The 23,961-nt window shown below is 39.8% G+C and overlaps 1 pseudogene, besides 2 other annotated features; it reads right to left on the bottom strand.

Moving 5' to 3' along the window:
* RPL37P6 (ribosomal protein L37 pseudogene 6) lies at nt 3,306-3,672 on the bottom strand (annotated as a pseudogene).
* Nucleotides 6,383-6,883: an enhancer, noted in NCBI's record as "H3K4me1 hESC enhancer chr8:57497729-57498229 (GRCh37/hg19 assembly coordinates)". NCBI's record gives its function as "activates a minimal SCP1, AML or CMV promoter by ChIP-STARR-seq in primed H9 embryonic stem cells {active_cell/tissue: H9 hESC(primed)}" and the evidence as "EXISTENCE:reporter gene assay evidence [ECO:0000049][PMID:30033119]".
* Nucleotides 6,884-7,384: an enhancer, noted in NCBI's record as "H3K4me1 hESC enhancer chr8:57497228-57497728 (GRCh37/hg19 assembly coordinates)". NCBI's record gives its function as "activates a minimal SCP1, AML or CMV promoter by ChIP-STARR-seq in primed H9 embryonic stem cells {active_cell/tissue: H9 hESC(primed)}" and the evidence as "EXISTENCE:reporter gene assay evidence [ECO:0000049][PMID:30033119]".

Below are 23,961 nucleotides of genomic sequence, written 5' to 3'. Positions count from 1 at the left end.
TGCTTCTCAGCAGAGTAAGCTGCGTAGTAATTGTATTTATCCTTTTGAGATGAATTCTGGGGAACTGCTTTGATTTTGAATAGTAAAAGAGTGCTGAGTCATGGAATACCTGCAATACTGTATTAGTGCAGGCAGTCCTGCTATAAAGAACTGCTCGACACTGGGTAATTTATAAAGAAGAGAAGTTTAATTGACTCACAGTTTCACATGGCTGGGGAGGCCTCAGGAAACTTACAATCATGGTGGAAGGGCAAGCAGACACGTCTTATGTGGCGGCAGGTGAGAGATAACGTGTATGTGCGCAGGAAAACCTACCATTTATAAAACCATCAGATCTCATGAAAATTCACTATCACAAGAACAGCATAGGGGAACCACCCCCATAATCCAATCACCTCCCACCAGTTCTCTCCCTCTATACCTGGGGATTACAATTCAAGATAAGATTTGGGTAGAGACACAAAGCCTAGCCATATCAAATACCAAGCTGGGAGTTCTTCATCATGCAATAACATATGAAAACTTATGAAGTTTCTAAGTCATTCAAGAAATTTTTTGAGTGCCCCAGACATGGTTTTCTGTGTTAGGAAGACAGCCGTGAACCAGAAAATAACAGCCCCTACCCTTGTAAGACTTCCAGTCTAGTGGTCATGCTTGTGAAAGATTCAAGTACATAGAATGGATTGAAGGTTTGAGGTGGAGGAGCAAGTAAGAGGCTTTCCAGCAGTGCAAGCTTTATGCACACATAAGACCAACACAAGGGTGGCAAAGATGACTCCAAGGTGTTGAGTCTGAGGAACCAAATAGCTGTTATTAGTATTAAGAGAAAGATAGGATTTTGAAAGAATTTGGAGAAAAAGCTGATGATGTTGATTTTATATACTTTCAGTTTGAGAAAACATTATAAAATCTAGATGGAGATGCCCAACTGGCAATGAAAATCCTGGACCTAAAGCTTAGGAAAGGAAGATGTGAGGCTCCAATGAACAAAGACATAGCAGGAATTATAGCAGTATCTGAGGTTGACCAGAAGAAGGTAGAAAAGAGAATAGGGACACTAAACTCATCTTTGTATCCAAAGTTGAACAAAAAAATCCTACATTGTTTGCATTTTATCATCCAAGTTTACACCCACAACTGTGGTGCCTGTGAAATATTATGATAAAGGCAGAGAGGAAATCTATATCAGTGCATTCTCTCCTCCTTAAATGAATGAAAGTCAGATGAGTCCACACCCTAGAAGGGAAGAGGCTGGCCAGCATTTCTGCCTGGGTCAGCTATTTGCCAGAGCCCTTGATGGTCTGGAATCCCTCAGAGCAGCAGGTCCCAAGCTCTTTGTGCCTTTAATTAATAAGAGAGATCACTATGTTTCAGGCCTATGTTGTTTGTGAGAGAGATGAGGTTAGACAGTTGCTGAATGTATTCCAAGGAAGGAATTCATGACAGAAGATGCCTGATCCAGATACTCAATTACTACTGCAAATCCCATGGAAAGACTAGCTTTGCTGGAGCAGAGAGGGGCCTGTATCAGGGACGTGGAAACTGATAAGCTGCTGTTCTCTCCAGAAATCATGTGAAACAAGGAGCAGCTTGGAAACTACAGGTTTGTAGGTATTTAGAAATCAAGATATGTTGAAAATAAGATCCTAAAAGAGTATGCTATGCAAAGATCAACTCCTAACCAACTGAAATGGTGTGTTATTTTTCTGACGTCAGGGAAGACTTAAATAATTGGGGAAGAAGGCTGCCCAGTGGTATGTATAGAGGAACTCTCTCAGTTTTAAAATTGTTTAAAGAGTAGTAATGTATTTATGTTCAGTTGTACTACTCAGAGATCACACACATCGGCTCCCAATATAAAATAAATAAGCAGGACATTTAAATAAAGCAATATAATTCAGGAAGGAAAACAGCAACTGGGAACGCAGTGGATTTGCATAAATCAAGCATCATGATAGTGTTAACTGCCATCAGATTCAGTCTACTCAGAAGTATACAAGTAAGACAAAATATTTTTAATGCATCACATAAATCAGCTATACAATGTTCTTACCAAATGCTAATGGTTGTTTCTGTCTCTACAATAAGGACATGATGGTCCCATTCTAAAACTGATCTGGTCAAGGTACATCTGGGGTATTGGTCAAATTTGAGTGCCCCATTGGAAGCTGTTCAAAGGAAGGCAACAACAACAACAAAAAAATCAAAAGCTTTCCAACAAAAGGAATTATTGAGGAGGCTTTAGATATTTACCTTAGGAAAAATAATATTTAAGAGGAGTGTGGTACTGCCAGTGGATATTTTAGTGGGTTGCACTTATTTTATATAACTATAGAGGGAAAAATAGCAACAAATGTTTTCACTTAACAATTATTTCTTGAGACTCTGCTATGTGCTAGATGTTTGGTATACAAAGTGAGTAAAAACCGTATCCTTGCCCTCTTGAAGCTTACAGTCTAGCACAGGAGGGAGTAACTAATCAAATACCCACATATACAGCGGTGACAAATTCTACAAAGAGGTGCAGGCCATAGGAAAGCCTGTAAAAGACGAATTCGATGAAACCAGTTGGCTGGAAATGACTTCCTTACAGAAGTGATTCAAAAAGGTACAGATGTGGGCTTACCACTAAGAAAATCATTTAAAGAATCATTCAAGAATGGTCAGCTTCCGGAGGAAGTGAGCCTCTTATCACTAGAGGCATTCAAATGGCTTTTGAATGGCTGGTTGCTGGTTGATTCATAAAGGAAGTCGCCCACTGGAAGGGTTATACTATTTAAGGTGAGAATCCATCTAACCCTGAGATTCTGGGAATCTACAAACAGTAACACCAAGCACCCCCAAGAAAGCCTTGCCAGCGGGTTTTTAAGATGTCTGATTAAATATAGCCCTTCAGTTACAAAAGTACGAAACTAAGCAACCTGAGACATTTGCATACATGTGTACATACACTTGTACACATACAAAGATTTATATTTTTATACATCTATGAGTATATATAGAGATATGTTTTTAATCGCAATAAGAAGCATTATTATTTTATCAAAGCAATGCCATCGCCCCTACCATTCACTCTACCTCTTCTCCATGATTGCCTCTTTTCCTTTTCTGACTAGTTAAATAGAAATACATTTTGGTAGGATCACGAGATAGAGCAAGGATTAAATACACTTAATGATGTGCATTTGCTAGGCATTTTTGTCTTAGTACACAGATTGTGATTATTTTAGAACAGGAGTCCACAAAAAATTGGCCTGTAGGGCTGTCTTTTTTAATTTATTTTTTATTTATTTATTTATTTATTTTGTATTTTTTAAAACCAGAACATTTATTGCATGACTAATCGTTGACATTAAGATGAACTGGATGCTGCAACAGCTGCCCTCTTGGGTTTAGGTGTTGTTCCTTCACGGAATCCATGCCTGAATCTATGGTATACAATTTTTAGGTGCCTCATTTGACCAGTTCTGGTGGTATTTCGTCTTTTAGCCTTGGTACTCCAGTTATACTTTCTCTTGCGCTTGGCAGTGTAGCCACATTTGCCATAGGTCGACTTCTGAAGGTGGTAGGCCTTAGAGCCACAGTGGTGGCATAACGTGTACGTCTTATTGCAATGCTTTCCAAATGATGACGTTCCCTTCATCATCTCGCTTCTGCGGCCAAGACTAGAAATAAACACAGCCACACTCATTTATTGACATACCATCTAATGGTAATTGCAACACAGACTTTACGACCTGCAAAGCCTAAAATTTTTACTATCTGGTCATAACAGCAAACATGGAAGCTATCACACTCCTAGGGTTGTTTCAAAGACACCTGCTAGATATAAATAGGTTGATTTGAGTAGCAATGAGGATAATAACTGAAATGTAACAAAACATTAAATATAATTAAATTAAACCTATACATTCATATGTATTAAACATGCACTGTGTTTGGAATACAGACAGAAACCACACATTATTTTGAAAACTACTAAACATTCATCCTGTCTTTTCTATACTCAGGTTAACCTAAGAATGGATAAGGGGAAGTTTCTCTCTATAGAAGTATTCTAGCTAATAAATGAAAAATAGGTAAAAAATTAGAATTTTGCCATTTTACAATTTCTAAGAAAGTGACAGATTTAGACAATAGTCATCAATGGCTGGTAGCCTGACAAGAGGCAGCCCAGAAATTGTATGACTCCTGAGGAGGGGAAACCCCACCACCTAGGAGGAAGTCTTCCTTTCAGCAGGGATCAACAGGACCAGGCATTGCTCCCCTGTCATCCCCGGAGAGCTTCTGTACTGGCTCCCGTTATCACCAATGTCCATCTGGACTCCAGAGAAGAATGAGAGGTTGGCATTCTGTCACTTCCTTTGTATCTCCTGAGAGAATCTCTTCCTTGCTACCCACAGAAACACCCTTTCTCATGTTGGTTCTCCAATACTACTGCTTCCAGGCTTGTTTGTGGCTCTTACCAAAGTAAAATTAAATTCTGATTTTGTTCAGTAGCTCTACAACCATAGCATAAGTGATACATGTGCAGTATTCACCAGTACCACAGCTGATCTCCTTAAGACAAGTAACAGATGGCTCCCCTTCTGAGTTAGGTGAGGATTCTGCATTTCCCCGGGTGCCTCCACAGAAGCACACACTGAAGCCCCATCTTCAGGCTGTTCCTCAAGCGGGTGTTTGTGTTTTTCCATCAAGCTGTCTGCAATGCAGAACAAGATGCTTGACACATAACAGGTGTTTGAGAACTCTTTATGGAATGTATTGAATGTATAAGTAATAAATCTATGAGCCCAGTAAATCAGCAGTAAGCTCAATTTACAGCCTGCCTGTTCTGTAAGTACAGAGCAGATATAAACAAAATATCCCTTGTAGTATCACAGTCATACCTGAGTTTATAGCCATGCACTATGTCACTGTTGTCATTTGGAGTAATATACAAAATTCAGCCGCATTGAATAATAGATCATTTTAACTGGTATCAATTATGCTTTATGGTAATTATCAAGATGTCATAAATTTAAGTGGGAAAAAAATGTTTGAAATTATTTAGGTGTCCCTTAGCATTGAGTCTTGTGCTCCCACAAAATATGAAAGAAAACAAATTTAACCAGGTGCAGCCAAAATGTTGGCTGCTTTCTGGAATAAGGCAGAAGCCTCACTAAATGGAGAATAAAGTAATTTGGGGTGGTAATCTACTCTTTAAGTTGAAAAGAAATTAAAACATAGAAATATAAACATTCTGAAAGCAAGTATTTTCTTTGTGTGTGGGTTTTTTTTTTTAGTATTTTAGAAGTTAGGTTTTTAAAAAGAGCACTTCGCTATTTCTTTTTATTTGAAAAACAGCTTTTCAAATCATTTATAGAGAATGGTCTGATTTTTTTCTTCTAAAGCAATTGCTTTAGCTGCCAGGGTATAAACAGGTCGTGGAATATAAAAGGAACAGCAAAGATCAGAGAACCTTAATATCCAGCTATCAAACTCAGAGCACTGTTTTCTTTTCAATAGGTTGACTCCTGGAACATTCTTGAGTTTCTATTTTTTTCCTTTTGAGATATTACTTACCCTAAAATCTAAGACCCATTTAGAGTTATGACTTAATAAATGTGATAACTTTCCAAGTTATCATGGAGTAACTTCAAAGAAATCTAATTGACATATTTCTGATTATAAAATTGGGAACTTAATTTAATGTACCTCATAAGATCTAATGTGAAACTTCAAACAAATTCTTCTAGTCATGAGAAAATTAACTTCTTTTTGCTTAATATCAAATCTATTAACAACCCAAATAAAGTTTGAGTGCAATTAACTTTGTATCAATTTAATCTTACCAAACTTTCATATTTTCTACAGAAGACAGTTTACGTAAGCTAACTTGGGAATAAAACTATAATTTAGATTGTTGAAATAAATTTACTTATCTGATTAAATGCATTTCTTGATGTCCTTCAGTAAGGAACTCAAGCTTTTGTTTGTAATCCCTAAGTAATAATTTTTAACTTTAGAAGCCTCTCATTGTTTTCTAAAACCCAAATGGTATAAATCTGATGTTTCTGAAAAAGAAATTACTTGGGTTGGGATTTTCTAAGGCTATGAATTAAAAACACTGGTAAAATAGTCTCTGAGACCCAAAAGGATTCCATCTGTTTGGGAAAATATGGTTGTCAGGCATGAGCTTTTAGTTTTCCACTTAACTTTATTTTGCTGATTTAAAATAAAAGACTTGTTTCTGTCACAATTAAGACTTTAAAGCAGCTGCATGACTTTGTTCTTCAGTGCTCTAAGGGGTTTGTTTTCTTTTAAATATGTAAACCTACCAAACTAAATAAATGGCCTTTATGTGCATCCAAGGTCTATTAGCTCATTAGGGACAAGAATTTAGCAAATACCACCAATAAAGGAAATAAACAAACTGGCTCTCTGGTGCCCTGGGCTCCAAGGGCTTTCTCCAAGGGGCTATTTTCACTGGGGAGAAGGGCTAATTGCTCATCCTGAGGGCTGTAATGATTTCTTCACACCGAAGCACTTTGCTCCCTATTCACTTGTGAGTTGAGAAACAGAGAAAAGCATGCTCACGGTCCCTAAAGACCCCTAGAAATCTGGTGTAAATAAGAACTTGCCTTCAGAACTGTGAACAAAGCAGGCATTCCACTTGCCTGATGAAAATGTAGAAGAAGATGAACCCCAATGCAAATGCTGGCCTGTGCTCCCTTCCTCCCAGGGGCTCTCTCTGAGCAGACTTATTGCAGCAACGCATTGTACCCTGATTCGCACCACTTCTGCCCTCAGCTTCCACTGGCTTCATGCTGCCTCTGGGCCTCCCCTCACACATGGCTTCATCTCCCAACCCCGCAAACAAGCATGCACACATGTGCACCCAGGGAATGTCCCTGACCTCTCCTATCAAGGTGCCCCATTAGCGTCCCAGGAAGGCCCGACACCGAGCCACCAGCTGACACCCACAGAGCTGAACGCAGCCAGTGGGGCCCCAGGAAAAGTGCCCGTAATTGGAAACCTAGTGCAAGCACCCAGAAATGGAAATGCGACTGTGATGTCTCAGCTCTGTTGCTAATTACTGGGTGTGATCACCCCTGTGGACAAATGATGTATGTCCTCTGGGTTTCAGTTTCCTCATCTGTGAAGTGAAGAATAAGTGGTAAATAATCTCCTAGTTGCTTTCAGTTCAAATATGATCTTAATTCCTACTGAGGTATCAGAGGCTGATAAGGGCTGATCATGTCCCCCCACTCTCAATCCTGGGGAATGCGTAATTAACAACAGCCTTAAAGCTTTGGTATCTTTCCGCAAAATAATAAAGCTTATCTATGAAAATATAAAGGAACCTAAATGGGGGCTTTAGAACACCCCACAAATCATACCTCTCCCTAGCATGTACTTCCGCCAAGCGTGAAGTCTCCCTCTGCACAGACAAGGGATATGCCTGGAACCTCTGTGCTGATTATTTAATCAATTGAGTCTATTTTTTTAATGATAGTTCATTCGATTTGATACTAGATATTTTAGAAAATTGTAAAAATCCCTGGGGAGAATTCTGAGACTGTGACTACCAAGTAGAGAATAGGCAGTTTTGTATGAAAATTTTGTCAAGATAAAAAACTAAATTATCTCAAAACAGACAAACTATTCAGGTAGGAAGCTACTGCATTTAGGTATTCTTTAGAACATTTTAACAAACTGGAAACTTTCAGTGGTGAAAATTTAACAGACTATATTCACACAACTAAATGGCTTTAAATGCCTGTTTTCTTTGGCAATTATGAAGCAAAAATGCCTATTATTACATGAACTCACTTTATATATTCTATAAACTGGTTAAAATCTGTCCATAACTTTTGAGTGTTTACCTCTTTTAGAATTGAGTAAAGAAACACTCTGAAAAAAACAGGTATCCATTAGTTGGGAGAAACAATGAACAATTAGAAACATTTAAATCAGCAAAGAATTGATGGGCTTATATGTCTTTTATTGTATTTATCCCATTTCCTTTGTGAGTTTCTTGGGGACAAGAACTGAGTTCTGTTTCACTTGCATCCCTCCATGGCAGAAAAGGCAAAAGATCCCGACAGACAAGGAGTCCCCAGGAGATCCTTAGGAACTGATCTTGCCTGACAACTGGAGGTGGAGGTTCAAGTGTTCCCAGACCAAACTGAGGGTTGGGCTGCTATTTCTCGTGGCCCAATAATGAAATGCAGATGAACTTGGTGGGGAAGAGAGTTTTATTTCCGCTACTGGTTACAGGGAGAAGGCCTGGAAGTTATTGCCAGACCAACTCAAAATTATGAAGTTTTCCAGAGCTTATATACTTTCTAAGCTATATGTCTACACGTAAGTTTGCACTCCTCTAAAAACATAAGTGATTAACTTCTTCTAATCTATAACTAAGATCTGAGTCCTGAAGACCTTCCTCTGGAGCCTCAGTAAATTTACTTAATCTAAATGGGTCCAGGTGCTGGGGTGATTACCCTTATCTTGTCTCCTGTTAAATCACGGAGGTTTGAGGAGTTCCTTCAGAACCCCAATAAACTTTTTGTGGAGGCCTGGGGAGTTTCTTCAGACCCCCCAGTAAAACTTGTTTAATCCTAAAAGGGGCCTGTTCAGAATTCCTTCATTATTTTGTCATACTTTAAGGCCCAGAAAAGGCCTAGGCAAAACTCTTGGTGGGCTTTTTTTACATTCCAGACTTTGTATAAGGACACTGGCTCTATCAGCTTTTAATATTTAACTTAACCACTGGGTCAGTACTGAAAGAGTTGTTATGGAGGCCTGCGTTAGTGAGACCTGGTCTGCCACATAAGGGCACCCTGACAAGGTCACACAGAGTGCCTAATGAGAGGTCATGGAGGTCACAATGCAGAGCTGAAGACATGCATATGCCAAGAAGCTGTCCCTGCTTCCAAATGTCATAGGGACAATCATAGAAAGATCTTCAGGTCTTTTCTGGGGACTTGAAAGACACTGTATAAGTGTGTTCTCACATTGCTATAAAGAACTACCTAAGACCAGGTAATTTATAAAGAAAAGAGGTTTAATCGACTCACAGTTCTGCAGGCTGTACAGGAAGCATGGCTGGGGAAACCTCGGGAAACTTAAAATCATGGCAGAAGGTGAAGGGGAAGAAGGCACATCCTACATGTCTGGCAGGAGGAAGAGAGCAAAGGTGGAGGTGCTACACACTTTAAACAACCAGTTCTCCTGAGAACTCTCTCACTATCACAAGAATGGCAAAAGGGAAATCCGCCAACATGATTCAATCACCTCCCACCAGGCTCCTCCTCCAACACTGGGGATTACAATTCAACATGAGGTTTGGGCAGCAACACAAATCCAAACCAAGTCAGGCAGGAAAGAGGAAACTCCCTTGGATCATCACGTATGGGGGCTCTGACAAGGAGGCCTCTCACAGCCCCGCCCCTCAGCCTTCCTGGGCCAGATGAAGAGGGAGGAAGAAGCCAGAATGAGCTGCAGTTTCCAGGCCCTCTTTCCTTAGAATGAGATTGTTCTTACAGTTAACAGAAAGAAAGGAGCCCTGAATTCAGTATAACAATTAAGCCTAAAAGGTATGAGGGTAACCAGAACCCAGAGAACACCAGCTGCTGCCTTCATACTGAGCCATCCCCTCTAAAAATGTTTCCACAGTTCCTCTATTACTTATGAAGGAAGCATACACATGCACCAGCGTGTCCACAGCACAATCACCACAGCCCTGGCAGCACAGGAAAAGCCCCATCCAGCTACACTTGGCTGGATCTTGGTATAAATTCTTTGGTTGATCAAGCACCCTCTATCTTTCCCTTCCATTTCCTATTCCTGATGAAACCTCCACTCAGTCCTGACAGCAGAATGGCGCATCTTCTCATGTCTGGTCTAAATGGGCAATGTTGAGGCAGTTTGCTCCTCTTTGAATGTTAAAGGATCAGTCTGTATTTTTCCATGTTCCATCCAGCCATACCCTGGCCACACAGGCCAGACATCCTGCCAGCCTCCTCTCTACTTTTGTAGGTCAACATGTGAGCCTTCTCTCTGGGACACGTAACCTCCTGACTATCTAAAAGTTTGTCTTTCCAGAAGCTCTGAGGACAGCCCTCCCCTTGCCTGCTCAAAAGCCTCCTGGGGGCTCTAGTGCACCCAGCTCCTCTCTGTGAGGGGGAGGAGAGACTGGCCTCAGGAGGTTGTCAAAAGGGCTGTGTGCTCCACAGGGTCCGACCAGAACTGGAAGAGCCAGCAGTGTTGGTCTCTTTCTCTGTGCAGCTGACATCCTCTCCTGGCCTGTTGACAAAAAGAGTCGAACTCTGTAAAATATTTGAAGAGATTTATTCTCAGCCAAATATGAGTGGCCATGGCCCGTGACACAGCCCTCAGGAGGTCCTGAGAACATGTGCCCAAGGTCGTCAGGGAGCAGCTTTGTTTTACACATTTTAGAGAGGCGTGAGACATCAACCAAATACGTTTAAGAAATACATTGGTTTGGTCCAGAAAGGCGGGACAACTCAAAGTGGAGAGCTTACAGGCTATAGGTGAATTTAAACATTTTCTGGTTGACAATTGGTTGAGTGTGTCTAAAGACCTGAGATTGATAGAAAGGGAATGTTCAGGGAATGTTCAGGTTGAGATAAAGACTGTGGAGACCAAAGTTCTTTTGAAGTCTTATAGTGGCTGCCCTTAGAGACAACAGATGACAAATGTTTCCTATTCAGATCTTAATTAATCTCTTTAGGATTGGGAAAGTGTGGAAGAAAAAGATCTAGCTATGTTAACAGAGATTCTTTACAGATGCAAATTTTCCCCCATGAAGAACAGCTTCACAGGGCCTTTTCAAAATATGACAAAGAAATATGTTTTGAGGTAAAATATTTTTATTTTCTTCCTTGTCTTATAATGTTATGCCAGAGTCAGGTTGGAAAGTGAGTCATGATATATAGAGTTAAATAAAACCCATATGGTGATAATTTATGATTTGTAGGGCATGACACTCAAGGAATTTGGGCAAGATTTAAAAAAAATCAGAATTTAGTCCTCAGGGCAAATAACATCTAGAAAACTCACAGCTTTTCTTGCAATCCATAAGCAAGTTTTCAGAGTTCATGAAGCCTCTACAATCTCTTGCTATTTCCAAGGTTGCAAGTGCAAACATGGAACATCTTGACTAGGACTCTGTTCTGTGAGATCACTGTGACCAAGTCTGGCATGCATTTTCCAGACGTTGCCCAGCATGGGCGTGTACACATCTCCCACAAGAGTCTTCCGGGTGGGGGAATTCAAGTTCAGCCTGGAACCTTCTCCTAGAAGGATATGAGAGCCAGCAGGAAGTACATTCCTTTTCTTTTTAAGTACTTTAGCCTTAGGTTTCAGGCAAATTTGAAACAATTGAGCATCTTACTGAAATGGGGAGGAGGTGTCTGAGCTTATAAATATTCTCTTCTTTCTCCGGAAAGAAGAACCTGTACTTTTTAGAGGAGAGGCAGAAAATCCAAGAGACCACAGATCTTTTCCAATTTGGTCACTACATTCAGTTTTCATAGGCTAGCCACTTTATGTTTGAAATCTCAAACTCTCTCTGATCTATCCAAATAATAATTACAAGAATAGAAGAAAACACTTACATAGTACAAATTATGTCTAAGCATGAATATTCCCAGCAACCTTAAGAAATACTATTCCCATATTACAGATTGGACAAGTGAGGCACAAAGAGGTTAAGTAACATACCCAAGATTGTACAGCTAAGGTATGATGAGCTGAGGTTCAAACCCAGTGTCTGATGCCAGATTCTATGACATTAACCACTTCACAAGGCACTAGTGAAACCTGAAGGTTTTGTGTTTCAAACTGAAAGGTATAAGGATTTGCTGGGAGATAAGAGACAAAGTGGTTTAAAAAAAAAAAAGGAGCCAAGAGTAGCAGGTACCTCTGCTCGCCGGCCCTCCCTGCCTGCTCGGGATGTTCCTGAGATCTTGTCTTAAACTCCCAAATTCCTCAGCATGTGATGTTTGAAACATCAGCCAAGATTTCCACAAATTTCTAGGTGCTCACACTATTATTTCATATTTTGCCTTTTGGTCTCATCTTTCTGTTACACCATATAATAAAATCTATTCTCACAAAATATTTTTGGACAAACAAAGCTATCAAGAGGAGAGAACTGTTCCTTAAGTGTCATCTGGTCACCCTGACTCTGGTATCTTACTGACTCCCCCTCACCTCAGCCTCTCTCCATTTCCCTCTGGCCCCTTCTTTCTCCTCCTCATTCTTCCCACCCCAATCACCCACCACCACCACACCCCAAATGGAACCAATCTTCCTTCAGGTCTTGTTCTTAGCAAAATCCTTTTGCTGTTTGGCCCTGCTCTTGAAGTCTCACCCTCTACCCTAAGGAGTGTCTTAAACAAAGACATTCTGGTGCCAGCTGTTCAGATAATAACATTTGTTCTCCCCCATTACAACATGGTAATAATGTGGTGAATGTGATAAAAGGGAGGAGGTGTGGTTGTATAGAAGAGATCAAGACTGACGATGCCAGGGAATGCCTCAGTCTGCTTTAGCCCTCTATTGGTGTTTATGCCTTTCCACGCAAAGCCAATAAAAAGTCTAGAGTGAAGCCCTTTGGAGGCAGGGCAGCGGATGCGAGGGAGACAGACCAAATGGCCCCTCGTGATGTTTACATTCTAGAAGCAGAGACGGACAACAGATACACAAATGAACATATGACAATGTCAGGCAGGGATAGTACCATGAAAGTAAGAAATAAAAATAAAATCCTAAGACCACCACTCAACTGAATGGATCCACTCTTAGCCAAGGAGGCCCCAGAGAAACTTTAAAAACTGAGTTCCTGGCCATGACAGAACAGGAGGCTGGAGACACCTCGGTATACCCCCTCCTTCGCTAACATCCAGTGAACTTTATTTCCTCAGGGAGAAACAGAAACCAGCCCTTTTAAGAAAGACTTGCTCCACTGCAGATTTCAAACACCTACCTGATGCTGTAGGCTTTTTGTGGTTTTGACACAACAACTGACAGCATTTCTTCCTGATAAAAGACCACTGACCCTGGAGTGGTTCTGGCCAGTTTACACAGGCTGTGCACAGAATGCCTTTGTCTCTTTTTCACCTTTTGATGTATACAGCCCAATGTTAATGCAGTTAAATGTTAAGTCTCCATGCCAAAGTAAACATGGGACATATGTAATATTCACTGTTGCTTATGTGTGTGCAAGTGTCCCTCCTTTATGAATATTCAAGGCTCCTCCTATAAACTGTTAAATATGTGTACTTAGCCAACTCCTTCAGTATAAACTCCTGTTTCACCCTTCCTCCTTTGAAATACGCACTTTCAGATTCTGCTGGCGGCTATGCTTCCCAACCTTCAGGCAGCAACCATTTATAAGAAATAAAGCTCTCCTCTCTAAATTTACAGCTATTGTGATTTTAAGTTGACAAAAGAAACTAGAGCTGATGAAAGGACCGAAAGTGAAGTACGTGTAGAGGGAGGTATACTGAACAGGTGGTCGAAGAAGACACCACTGAGAGGTTATTCGGGCAAAGACCAGAGTGAAGTGAGGAAGGGAGCCACGAATGTCTCTAGGGAAGAGCATTCCAAGCCAAGGGAGCAGCAAAAACGCGGTTGATTAAAATGGCAAGAGGATGTGACTATAGTGGAATGGTAATAGAGTTCAGGCCATTATGCTCCATTCATTGCAAATAGGAAGGGCAGGGTGTTGACTTCCATGCATAAAATTTTTTGTCTTTAATCAGCTAAATATTTTGAACATATGATTCTATAAAGACATATCTTCCCCTTTTAGACCTAAGTATAGAACTTTACATTAGTTTTCATATTTATTAATTTTTGCCAAACTTAACCCATAACAAAAATGTTCAAAACAATGGTTTGAATAGTGACAATCCTATTTCCTCAAATTATTTTGTTACTCAAGAATTCTATCAACTTTCTTCCCATACCACTTCATGAATAGATGCTTTCTTAATGGTCATGTAGCATAAAGTATAATTTATTTGGTCCAGGCCTCGTTGGTGGACATTTAGCTTCCTTCTTGAAATATGTGTGTGTGTGTGTGTGTGTGTGTGTGTGTGTGAAAGAGACAGAGAGAGAGAGACAGATTTGTGTTCTCCTGCTCATCATTCCCCTCTCCCACATTTCTGTCTACTTTTTCTCTTCTCTTTATAAGATTTCCTACTTCTATTCCCTTGAATGTTGATGTTGCCCAGGGCTCTGTCCCCTGCTTGCTGTTCTTGTTGCTCTACATACTCTCTGAAAGGCTCTAAAAAACTATGCATTCCTTTCCTATATTCCAGCAATGAACAAGTAAAATTTGAAATTAAAAACCCAATATCATTTACATTATCACCCTCAAAAGTGAAATGCTTAGGTGTCAAGCTAACAAAATATGTTTGAGATCTATATGAAGAAAGCTGTGAAATGTTGATGAAAGAAAAAAAAGAACTAAGTAAATAAAGAGATAATCCATGTTCATGGATAGGAAGACTCAATATTGTCAAGATGTCAGCTTTTTCCAATTTGATCTATAGATTCAATGCAATCTCAATCAAGATCTTAATAAATTACTTTGTGGACATCAACCAAGTCGTTCTAAAGTTTATGTGAAGAAGAAAAAAGACCTAGAATAGCCAATTCAATATTGAAGAAAAAGAACAAAGTCAGAGGACTGACATAACCTTGATACTTACCTAGGTACTTACATACTTATAGTATGACTTCAAGACATACTATAAAGCTACAGTAGTCAAGATAGTGTGGTATTGTTGAACTAATACACAAATAGGTCAATGGAAAAAATAGAAAGCTCAGAAATAGATATACATAAATATAGTCAACTGATCTTTGAGAAAGTAGTAAAGGCAATACAATAAAGCAAAGACAGTCTGTTCAACAAGTGGTATTGGAACAACTGGACATCCACATGCAAAAAAAAAAAAAGAATCTAGACAAAAACTTTACATCCTTTCCAAAAATTAATTCAAAGTGAATCACAGACCTAGATGTAAAACACAAAACTATGGCTGGGTGCGGTGGCTCACTCCTGTAATCCTAGCACTTTGGGAGGCCGAGGCGGGCAGATCACAAGGTCAGGAGATTGAGACCATCCTGGCTAACATGGTGAAACCCCGTCTCTACTAAAAATACAAAAGATTAGCTGGGCGTATCGGCGGGCACCTGTAGTCCCAGCTACTCGGGAGGCTGAGGCAGGAGAATGGCATGAACCCAGGAGGTGGAGCTTGCAGTGAGCGGGGATCCCGCCACTGCACTCCAGCCTGGGCAACAGAGTGAGACTCCGTCTCAAACAAACAAACAAACATAACACAAACTGTTAACTTCTAGAAGATAACAGAAGAGAAAACCTAGTTGACCTTAGATATAGAGATAACTTTTCAGATACAACACCAAAGGCACAATTCATGAAAGAAAGAATTGATAGTTGGACTTCATTAAAATTAAAAACTTCTGCTTTGCAAAAGACAATTTCAAGAGAGTTAGAAGACAAGCGACAAACTGGGAGAAAATATTTAAAAAGACACATCTGATAAGACTATTACCCAAAATATACAAAGACTGAAAGACAGATATTGTATGATATTTATATGTGGAATTTAAAATAGTCAAGCTTAGAGAGACAGAGAGTAGAATGGTGTTTGCCAGAGGTTGGGAGGCAAATAAACATATGAAAAGATGTTCCACATCATATGTCCTCAGGGAAGTAAAAATTAAAACAACCATGAGATGCCACTACACACCTGTCAAAAGACAAATTACAACACACTTAGTTTAAAGGTTTAATCAGCTTTATTTGTGAACCTAGAATCAGACACTTCATGTCATCAACTAGAATGAGTGCTCTGATAAGCTGAGTAGAGAAGGTTGGCTTTATAGGCAGGAAAAGAGTAAGGAAAGCAGAAACAAAAAAACAAAAAGCAGATTAGTCATTTTGAAGTTGCTTTTCTTATGAAGATTAAAGAAGAGGGGATGTCATTATCATGCTAGCTAAAATTGGCCAGTTTGGGATTTGGCTATTCTCTCTCTCTCAATTTTTCAGAAGTTTAGATAAAGAACTTAGTGTAAGCTAGGTGGCATGGAACTTCAGTATGAATAACTCCATTTTGGTTTGGTCCATTGGGCCCAGTTTAGGAGATCAGTCCAAACCAATGGCCTCCTATAAATTGTATTTAACACACCTATTAGAATGGCCCAAATCTAGAACACTGACAGCACCAAATTCTAGGAAGGATGTGGAGCAAGAGAAATCTTCATTCATTGCTGGTGGGAATGCAAAATGGTATAGCCACTTTAGAAGATGGTTTGGATATTAACCATGGGTCTTTTAATACGGATATAAGCTGGGTAAGTCTCAGTCCAGCGAATTTCATTCAGTAATTAACTAACTAGGCAAATATGGAGTTCCAGGCACTGGGAGGGTCTGGGAGTAAAATGAAAAGCAAAGCAGACACAGGGCCGCTTTATCTGGATTTGTCTGGCCTTTGTCGTCCATCCCTGGGAAGGAAGCTTTAAACCCTTAGAATTTCCCAAGTGATAAGAACGTCTCTGTTACTCATGGTGGGTCCCTCAGACCATAGCTGAGTTTATGCTAAAAGGTGACTCAGGATGGGGCAAGACCAACTATGTGATTAGAGGTTTCGGACTTGGAGCCACATACTACCAGCCTGCCCTCCAGGAAGGGGAGGAAGGCTGGAGACTGAGTTCAACCTCATGGCCAGTGATTCTATTGATCATACTCATGTAATGAAAACCCAATAAAAACTCTAGACTTTGAAGCTTAGGTGAGCTTCTCTGATCAACAGTACTCTATGTGTATTATCATGCATGGGTGTGCCAGGAGAATGTGCCTCACTCCACAGAGAGGTCAACAGTGGCTTCCCATTTGGGACCTTTCCAGGCCTCACCCTATGCATCTCATTTTTTAAAGCTGGTCTTAATTTGTATTATTTTGTGCTGTAATAAAATTGTATAATCATAAGTATAGTATTTTCTTGAATTCTGAGTCATTCTAGCAAATTATCAAAGGAGATAGTGGAAAATCTCTGGTTTATGGCCAGTTGGTCCAAAATGCAGGTGGCTGGGAGCCCCTGCAGTTGTGGCTGGCATCTGAAGTGAGAGAGATCTTGTGGGGGAACATGCCCTTCATCTGTGAAGTCTCTCAGAATTGCCTTGCAACCACCCGACTGTCATGGGTCTTGCCTAAGCTGGAGGGAACTTGTTGAACAACAACAGAAAATTAATTGTGGCCTTGCCTGTAGCCTAGAGTATGTTCCTTTGTTATTCCATCTCAGAGATAACATTTCTTCCCTTGTAGCACCTGCTTCAGTTTATTACACTTGATTAGGTGACCGCTAATTGAAGTTAACTTCCCTCCCTAGTGAAGCAGCCATGTGTCTGCTTTGCTTTCCATTTTACTCCTGGCACCTCCCAGTGCCTGGAACTTAATATTTGCCTAGTTATTTACAGTTACTTAGTGAAATTAATTAGAACGAGACTTACTCCTACCCCAATACACTCATATTCAGATTAAAAGATTCATGGCTAATATCTACAATTGATTTTCCTAACAGTGAAAAAAGTTATCTACATTTTTTTTTTGACACAGAGTTTCGCTCTTGTCACCCAGGTTGGAGTGCAGTGGTGCAATTTCAGCTCATTGCAAACTCTATCTCCCAGGTTCAAGCGATTCACCTGCCTCAGCCTCCCGAGTAGCTGGAATTACAGGTGTCTGCCACCACATCCAGCTAATTTTTGTATTTTTAGTAGAGGTGGAGTTTCACCATGTTGGCCAGGCTGGTCTCAATCTCTTCACCTCAGGTGATCCACCTACCTCTGCCTCCCAAGGTGCTGGGATTACAGCTGTGAGCCACCGTGCCCAGCCGTGATTGACATTTATAATTGTGAAAACAATTATTTTTCTAGGCTTTGTTCTAGGGCATCAGAAATGCAGATAGTAAGAGCTCTTAAGAAATTCACAGCTTTTATGGAAAACTGCAGATCAAGGAAATGTCACATCTGCTGTTATCATACAACAACTTGGGAGTTTCTTTCAGTGAGTTCCAATCCTGGGGTGCCCTGTACTCTTCCACATGAGAAAGTATGTGCACCTCCGACACTCCATTGCTTTGTGCACAACATTACCACATACAGAGAGTATGCTGTTTCTGTGGCTGGTGCCATCGTGTTTAATTACTACAGAAGAAATGAAGCCTATAACAAGACCAAAGAAGTCAAAGAAAAAAAATTAGTGAATGAAAATGGAAGACTGAAATATGAAGCTAGTAGGAAGGCAGGCACTGGCATAGTCTCATAAAAGGTCTTTCACTTGCCAAAAATTGTGCTAGGCACTGGGATACAAAGAGAACAAGCCATGATCCCTGCCCTCAGAGAGAACCAATCAATAAAGAACCATTACAAATTGATTAGGCCATAGTTTAAACAGATGTGCCTACCAAGTGCAGTGAGAGGAGAGGGGATGGGAGCATTGAGGCCAGCCTGAGGTTCAAAGAAGATATTGCGGAGAAGGAAGCATTGGAATTGCAGCTTGTGTAACGTGTAGGGATTTTCTAGTGGCTGGGTGACAGAAAGGTATTATGCCTGTGGAAGGAACCACACATTCAAAAGGGTGGAGAGTATGTACTTGTCTAAATACAAGTAATTGTATTTGGTTTAAATATAAAGTGTGTGTGTGAGAGAGGGTGATAAAGGAAGAGTGAAATAGAGGAGAAAGATTGTCTTAGGCCACAAACGAGGTTTGGCAGCTACAGAGACGCTGGATCACAAATACTAAACATGCAATGTAATACACTTTAGACTACAACTTCTAAAAGAATTTTTAAAAATTAGTAAACAGATGAACCAAAAAATGAACTGGAGTATGTTGAGGATGGGAGTCTGATGACCTTATTCAGAAGATGTGGACATTATAAAAATCATGCTGAGGGCAATATGTAATCACAGAGGGAAGTGAGGCAGCCAGTGAGTAATGAAGAAGAGGATCTTGTAGTGCAACTATATCAGGGACATGGGAGATAGAGGACAAGGGCAGGCAAAAGAAGTATTTGGGATCTGGCATCAATAGACTTGCAGATGGTTGAGAAATGGCAGACAGGGAGTCCATGAAGTCTCTAAGGTCTCTGGCTTGGATTGGTAATGGATCATAGAGTCATTATTTGACAGGAGAATACAAAAGGGAAGTGGCTGAGTTCAGCGTGGGAAAGCCGCATGGAGATATGTAAGAAACAGCTGGAGCTCAGAGGGAGTGTTTGCTGGAAGTGAAGCCTTGAGAACCACCAAGTCTAGGTTATGGTTGAGCTCACAGACTAAATAAGCTTGATCAGGAAGAGCTTATAAAGTGAGAAGAGAGGAGGCAAGGGCAGCCTGTTCTGAAGAGCTTGGGGCAAACATCCTGAACTTGACCATCATCTACAAAGAAGCTGTTCCAAGAAGAAAACTACCAGTTACTGGCACACAGTCTGGCTCTAAGAGTGTTCTTTAGATTTTTTTGTCCAGATTACTTTGCTCTCTTGATTTGCAACTTCTACCTGTGCATATCTGATGAATAAATGTATGAACCTACCTGCTATTTCCAGACCTAAGCAATACATTGACAGGTGCAACAGGAGCCACAAAAATGAAAAGAAAAAACAAGAGGAAAATTGTAAGTATAAAACAGAAGCAGTCTTATGTTATGTAAATAGAAGAGAAATAAATTGTTTAACAGCGATCAGTGCATTAGACTAGTAAACGTAACTAGTAATTAGTGATATTACCTGTAAAGGAACCAAAAACATAGAAATGAAAGATAAAGAATAGTTATGGAGATAAAGACATAGCGATCTATAAGAAAGAGCAAAAATTCAGAATTGAGATAATAACCCTTCCATAAAAACACAGAGAGACCACATGCCAAAAGATGAGGTTGGATGTTCACCTTATATCATATACAAAAATTAACTCAAAATGGATAAAAGGCCACTTGATTTAGCAAAGATTTTTTTGAAATGATGCCCAAAGCACAGGAAATAAAAAAGAAAAAACAGGTAAGTTAAACTTCAAAATTTGTGCATCAAAGGACACTACCAACAGAGTGAAAAGGCAACTCACATAATGGAAGAAAGCATTTGCAGATTATGCATCTGATAAGAGGTTAATATCCAGAACACATAAAGAACTCCTACAACTCAGCAAGAACAAAAAATGATTTAAAAATAAGCAAAGCACTTAAATAGACATTTCTCCAAATAAGGTTACAAATGATCAACAAGCACACGAAAAGATGCTAACATCACTAGCCATTAGGGAAATACAAATCAAACCACAATGAGATATTATTTCACACCCACTAGGATGCTATCATCCAAAAGTTAAAACTTAAGAAAATAGAAAATCACAAGTATTGACGAGCATGTGGAGACATTGGACCCCTGTGCATTAGTAGTGGGAATGTAAAATGCTGCAGCTGCTATAGAAAATGATGCAGCAATTTCTTAAAAAATTAAATAGAGGATTACCACATGATCCAGCAATTTCATTTCTGGGTAAATACCCAAAAGAAGTGAAATTACTGGTTTGCTAGAGTTATAACAACATACCACAACTGGATAGCTTAAGAAACAGGAATTTATTTTCTCACAATTCCGGTGGCTAGAAGTCCTAGATCAAGGTGTCAGAGAATTTGTGTCTCCTGGGGGTTTGTTTCTCTTTAAAAATTAAGTTAAAACTTTTACCACAATTTTTAACTAAAAATTAAGTTAATTGCTATAGATTTTTGTTTATAGCCTAACTGAGAAACATATTTTTTGCTACTCTCCAAGAAATGCTAAAGCATAATTTGATCAATGGGAAGTCTAATTTTAACCATAAATTCCACTATCAGAAGGGAGCATTGCAAGAACTGACCACTTTACATGCAAGAGGAGCTTTTTGTTTGTTTTGTTTTGCTTTGACATGGACTACCCTAGGGAATTGCTTGCACTTTTCTCTTGGCTGTAAATAAAAACCTGGATCTGTGTTCTTATTTGGATATAATATTTTAAATATAAAAATAAGACAGTTGGGTAATTAATTCATGAGAATATCCCATCCAATTAAACATCCTGACTGGACCATGGCCTTTGTGTGGCCTGCAGAGAGCTTGAAACAGCTTAAAATTTGTATGGTTAGAAGCACCCTTTTACCAGTTTTAGTCAGTTCTGGCTGCTATAACAAAGCATATAGGCTGGGTTGCTTGGAAACCACAGACATTTATTTCCCACAGTTCTGAAAGCTGGAAGTCTGAGACTAGGGTTCCAGCAGAGCTGGGTACTGGCGAGGGCCCTCTTCTGGATTGCAGACCGCTCTCTTCTCATTGTGTCCTCCTATGGCAGAAAGAGAAAGAGAGCTCTCCGGGATTCCTTTCAGAATAGCTTTAATCACATCCATGAGGACTCCACTCTCATGACCTAATCACCTTCCAAAAACCCCACCTCCTAATACCATCACCTTGCGTGTTAGAGCTTCAACATATGAATTTGGTGGGCGACATACACATTCAGTCCATTGCGCAGACTAAATATGAGACAAGTCATTCATTAAGTCAGTCTTTCTAGGACTATACAAAATGTCAAAATAACTAGGAGAAAAGAGAAAACTACTCAAGTGTGACATCAAGGGGAAAACGTTATCACAGAACTTGGTAGTTTCTTACAGACAGGACTGGCGATAGAATCTGCAGGGCCTAGTGAAAAATAAAAATGTGGGACCCCTTGTTCAAAATGCAGGCCCCAAAGTGCCATTGAAAGTACCAAAATATAAAACTTTTTCCTTTATTTTATGGTCTCTGACTTGGCTTGTGAAGATGTTTTTTATTTGCTATTTAATGTTGCTCTAAGTAAAGAAAATTAAAACATTAAATTATTAGCACAAATTTTATTATGCATTTTTATATTGTTTTAAATGCAAATATAAGAACAGCTTACTTGGATGCAGAATCACCAGAATTACACAATTCTCATTTTGTAGTTCATGCATGCATGTGCATTTTGTTCTTACCAGAACAAAGGAAACTACACAAAGTTAACTCAACTGTGTTCATTTCACCTCTTGGTGTGTATGTACTCTACCAACACTCTACCTTAGGCTATGGATAAGTAAGGAAGGATTGAAGGGGAAAAGAACAATATCATCACCCCATGTCATCCTTGTCAGCATAAGTGATGGCTAATACAAAGAAGTAACACCAGTAAAAAAGGATATCAAAGGGTCTGTTGGTCTTAGAAAACCATTTCCTTTTTTCTGCATTCGAAGGAAGTCCTGGTTCAAACAGAGACTGGCCTTTGGGGAGAGTCAATGCAAACCATTTGCTTCTTTCTGCATTCAAAGGAAGTCCTGGCTCAAACAGAGACTAGCCTTTGGGGAGAGTCAATGCCCCAGCTTACTTTGTCCTCACTCTAAGCTTCTCTGAAATCCTACCTGTCGTGGGTCCATGGGAATTCTGGACTCATGAGGCATCTCAAATGCTATATGCTAGTGGCGTAGCAAAAGAGCTTAAAAGAATTTCAAGACAGTGACAGCAGAGCATTAAAAAGCAGCATGAGTCACTCTGAATGTTTTCCCTTTGTGACTACAAATGTCAAACACCAATTTGCACATATTATTGAAATCTATTATATGTGGCCATCTAGGAAGGCTCAAGGTAGGCTAACAAGGCGGTGTTCAATGACATATCACTGTGGGATGGCTGTTTTCACCAATGCATTCACAGAGGGATGCTCGGAATGTTATCGGCTCTGGTATTCTAATATTGCCACATGAGATACTATTGCCATGCTCCTCAGTGGTATTTTCTTCCAAAAATAAGTACATTAATTAAAAATAAGAAAATACACGAATATAGTAAACAAATAATACTTAAGCAGGAGCTGGTAGGAATGAATGGAGGAACACTACCAAATCATCTAACAACAGCAGCACATCTCACTGGCAGAAATTCAGATGTGGAATTATGCTTCAAATGCTACTAATGGACTACGCTAAGGAGATACTGAATCTATGAAGGGTATTGAAATGCATACTTTTCTTCTACATATGATTCTACAGTGAATAAGTCTTATGAGACCTGATGGTTTTATAAAGGGGAGTTCCCCTGCACAAGCTCTCTTGCCTGCCACTATATAAGTAGAAATTACTCTACTTTTAATTACAGTGGCTCACGCCTGTAATCTCAGCACTTTGGGAGGCTGAGGCGGGTGGATCACGAGGTCAGGAGATCAAGACCATTCTGGCTAACACGGTGAAACCCCGTCTCTACTAAAATACCAAAAAAAAAAGTTAGCCAGGCGTGGTGGCGGGCGCCTGTAGTCCCAGCTACTCGGGAGGCTGAGGAAGGAGAATGGCGTGAACCCGGGAGGTGGAGCTTGCAGTGAGCCGAGATTGCACCGCTGCACTTCAGACAGAGCGAGACTCCATCTTAAAAAAAAAAAAAAAAGGAAAAAGAAAAAAAAAAGAAAAATCCCAGTTTTTCAGGCCACACAGAGTTGTTCACTAGCTGCACTCTGGACCATGAATCCAGCCATTCAGAATCACATCTTGGTGGGATTTACTATCTACTCTGGATTGGAATATTGCCATTATCAGCCTCCAATGAAATAATGGACTTAGGCAATCATGGTTTTTAGTTACTAAAACCATAAGATGAAAAGTTGATATGTAAGATCACAGTGGATGAATCAGGCTGATACACTAGGAACTCATTGATCAATCTTAACATTACCAAATATGACATTGTGTGCCTCCTCTCAGAAATACACACCACCACCTGGAAAGTATCAATGCCAAAAAAATTGAATAGAATCTGATTAGGCATCTAGATCTATCTACAATCTAGAAGAGCATGTTAATTGTATATTTGCATGATTTTACACTCAT

The sequence above is a fragment of the Homo sapiens genome, chromosome 8, assembly GCF_000001405.40.
Source record: "Homo sapiens chromosome 8, GRCh38.p14 Primary Assembly".
NCBI classification, from domain to species: Eukaryota; Metazoa; Chordata; class Mammalia; order Primates; family Hominidae; genus Homo; species Homo sapiens.
Note: the sequence above shows the minus strand (reverse complement) of the source record. Positions and strands in the feature narration are given on the sequence as shown.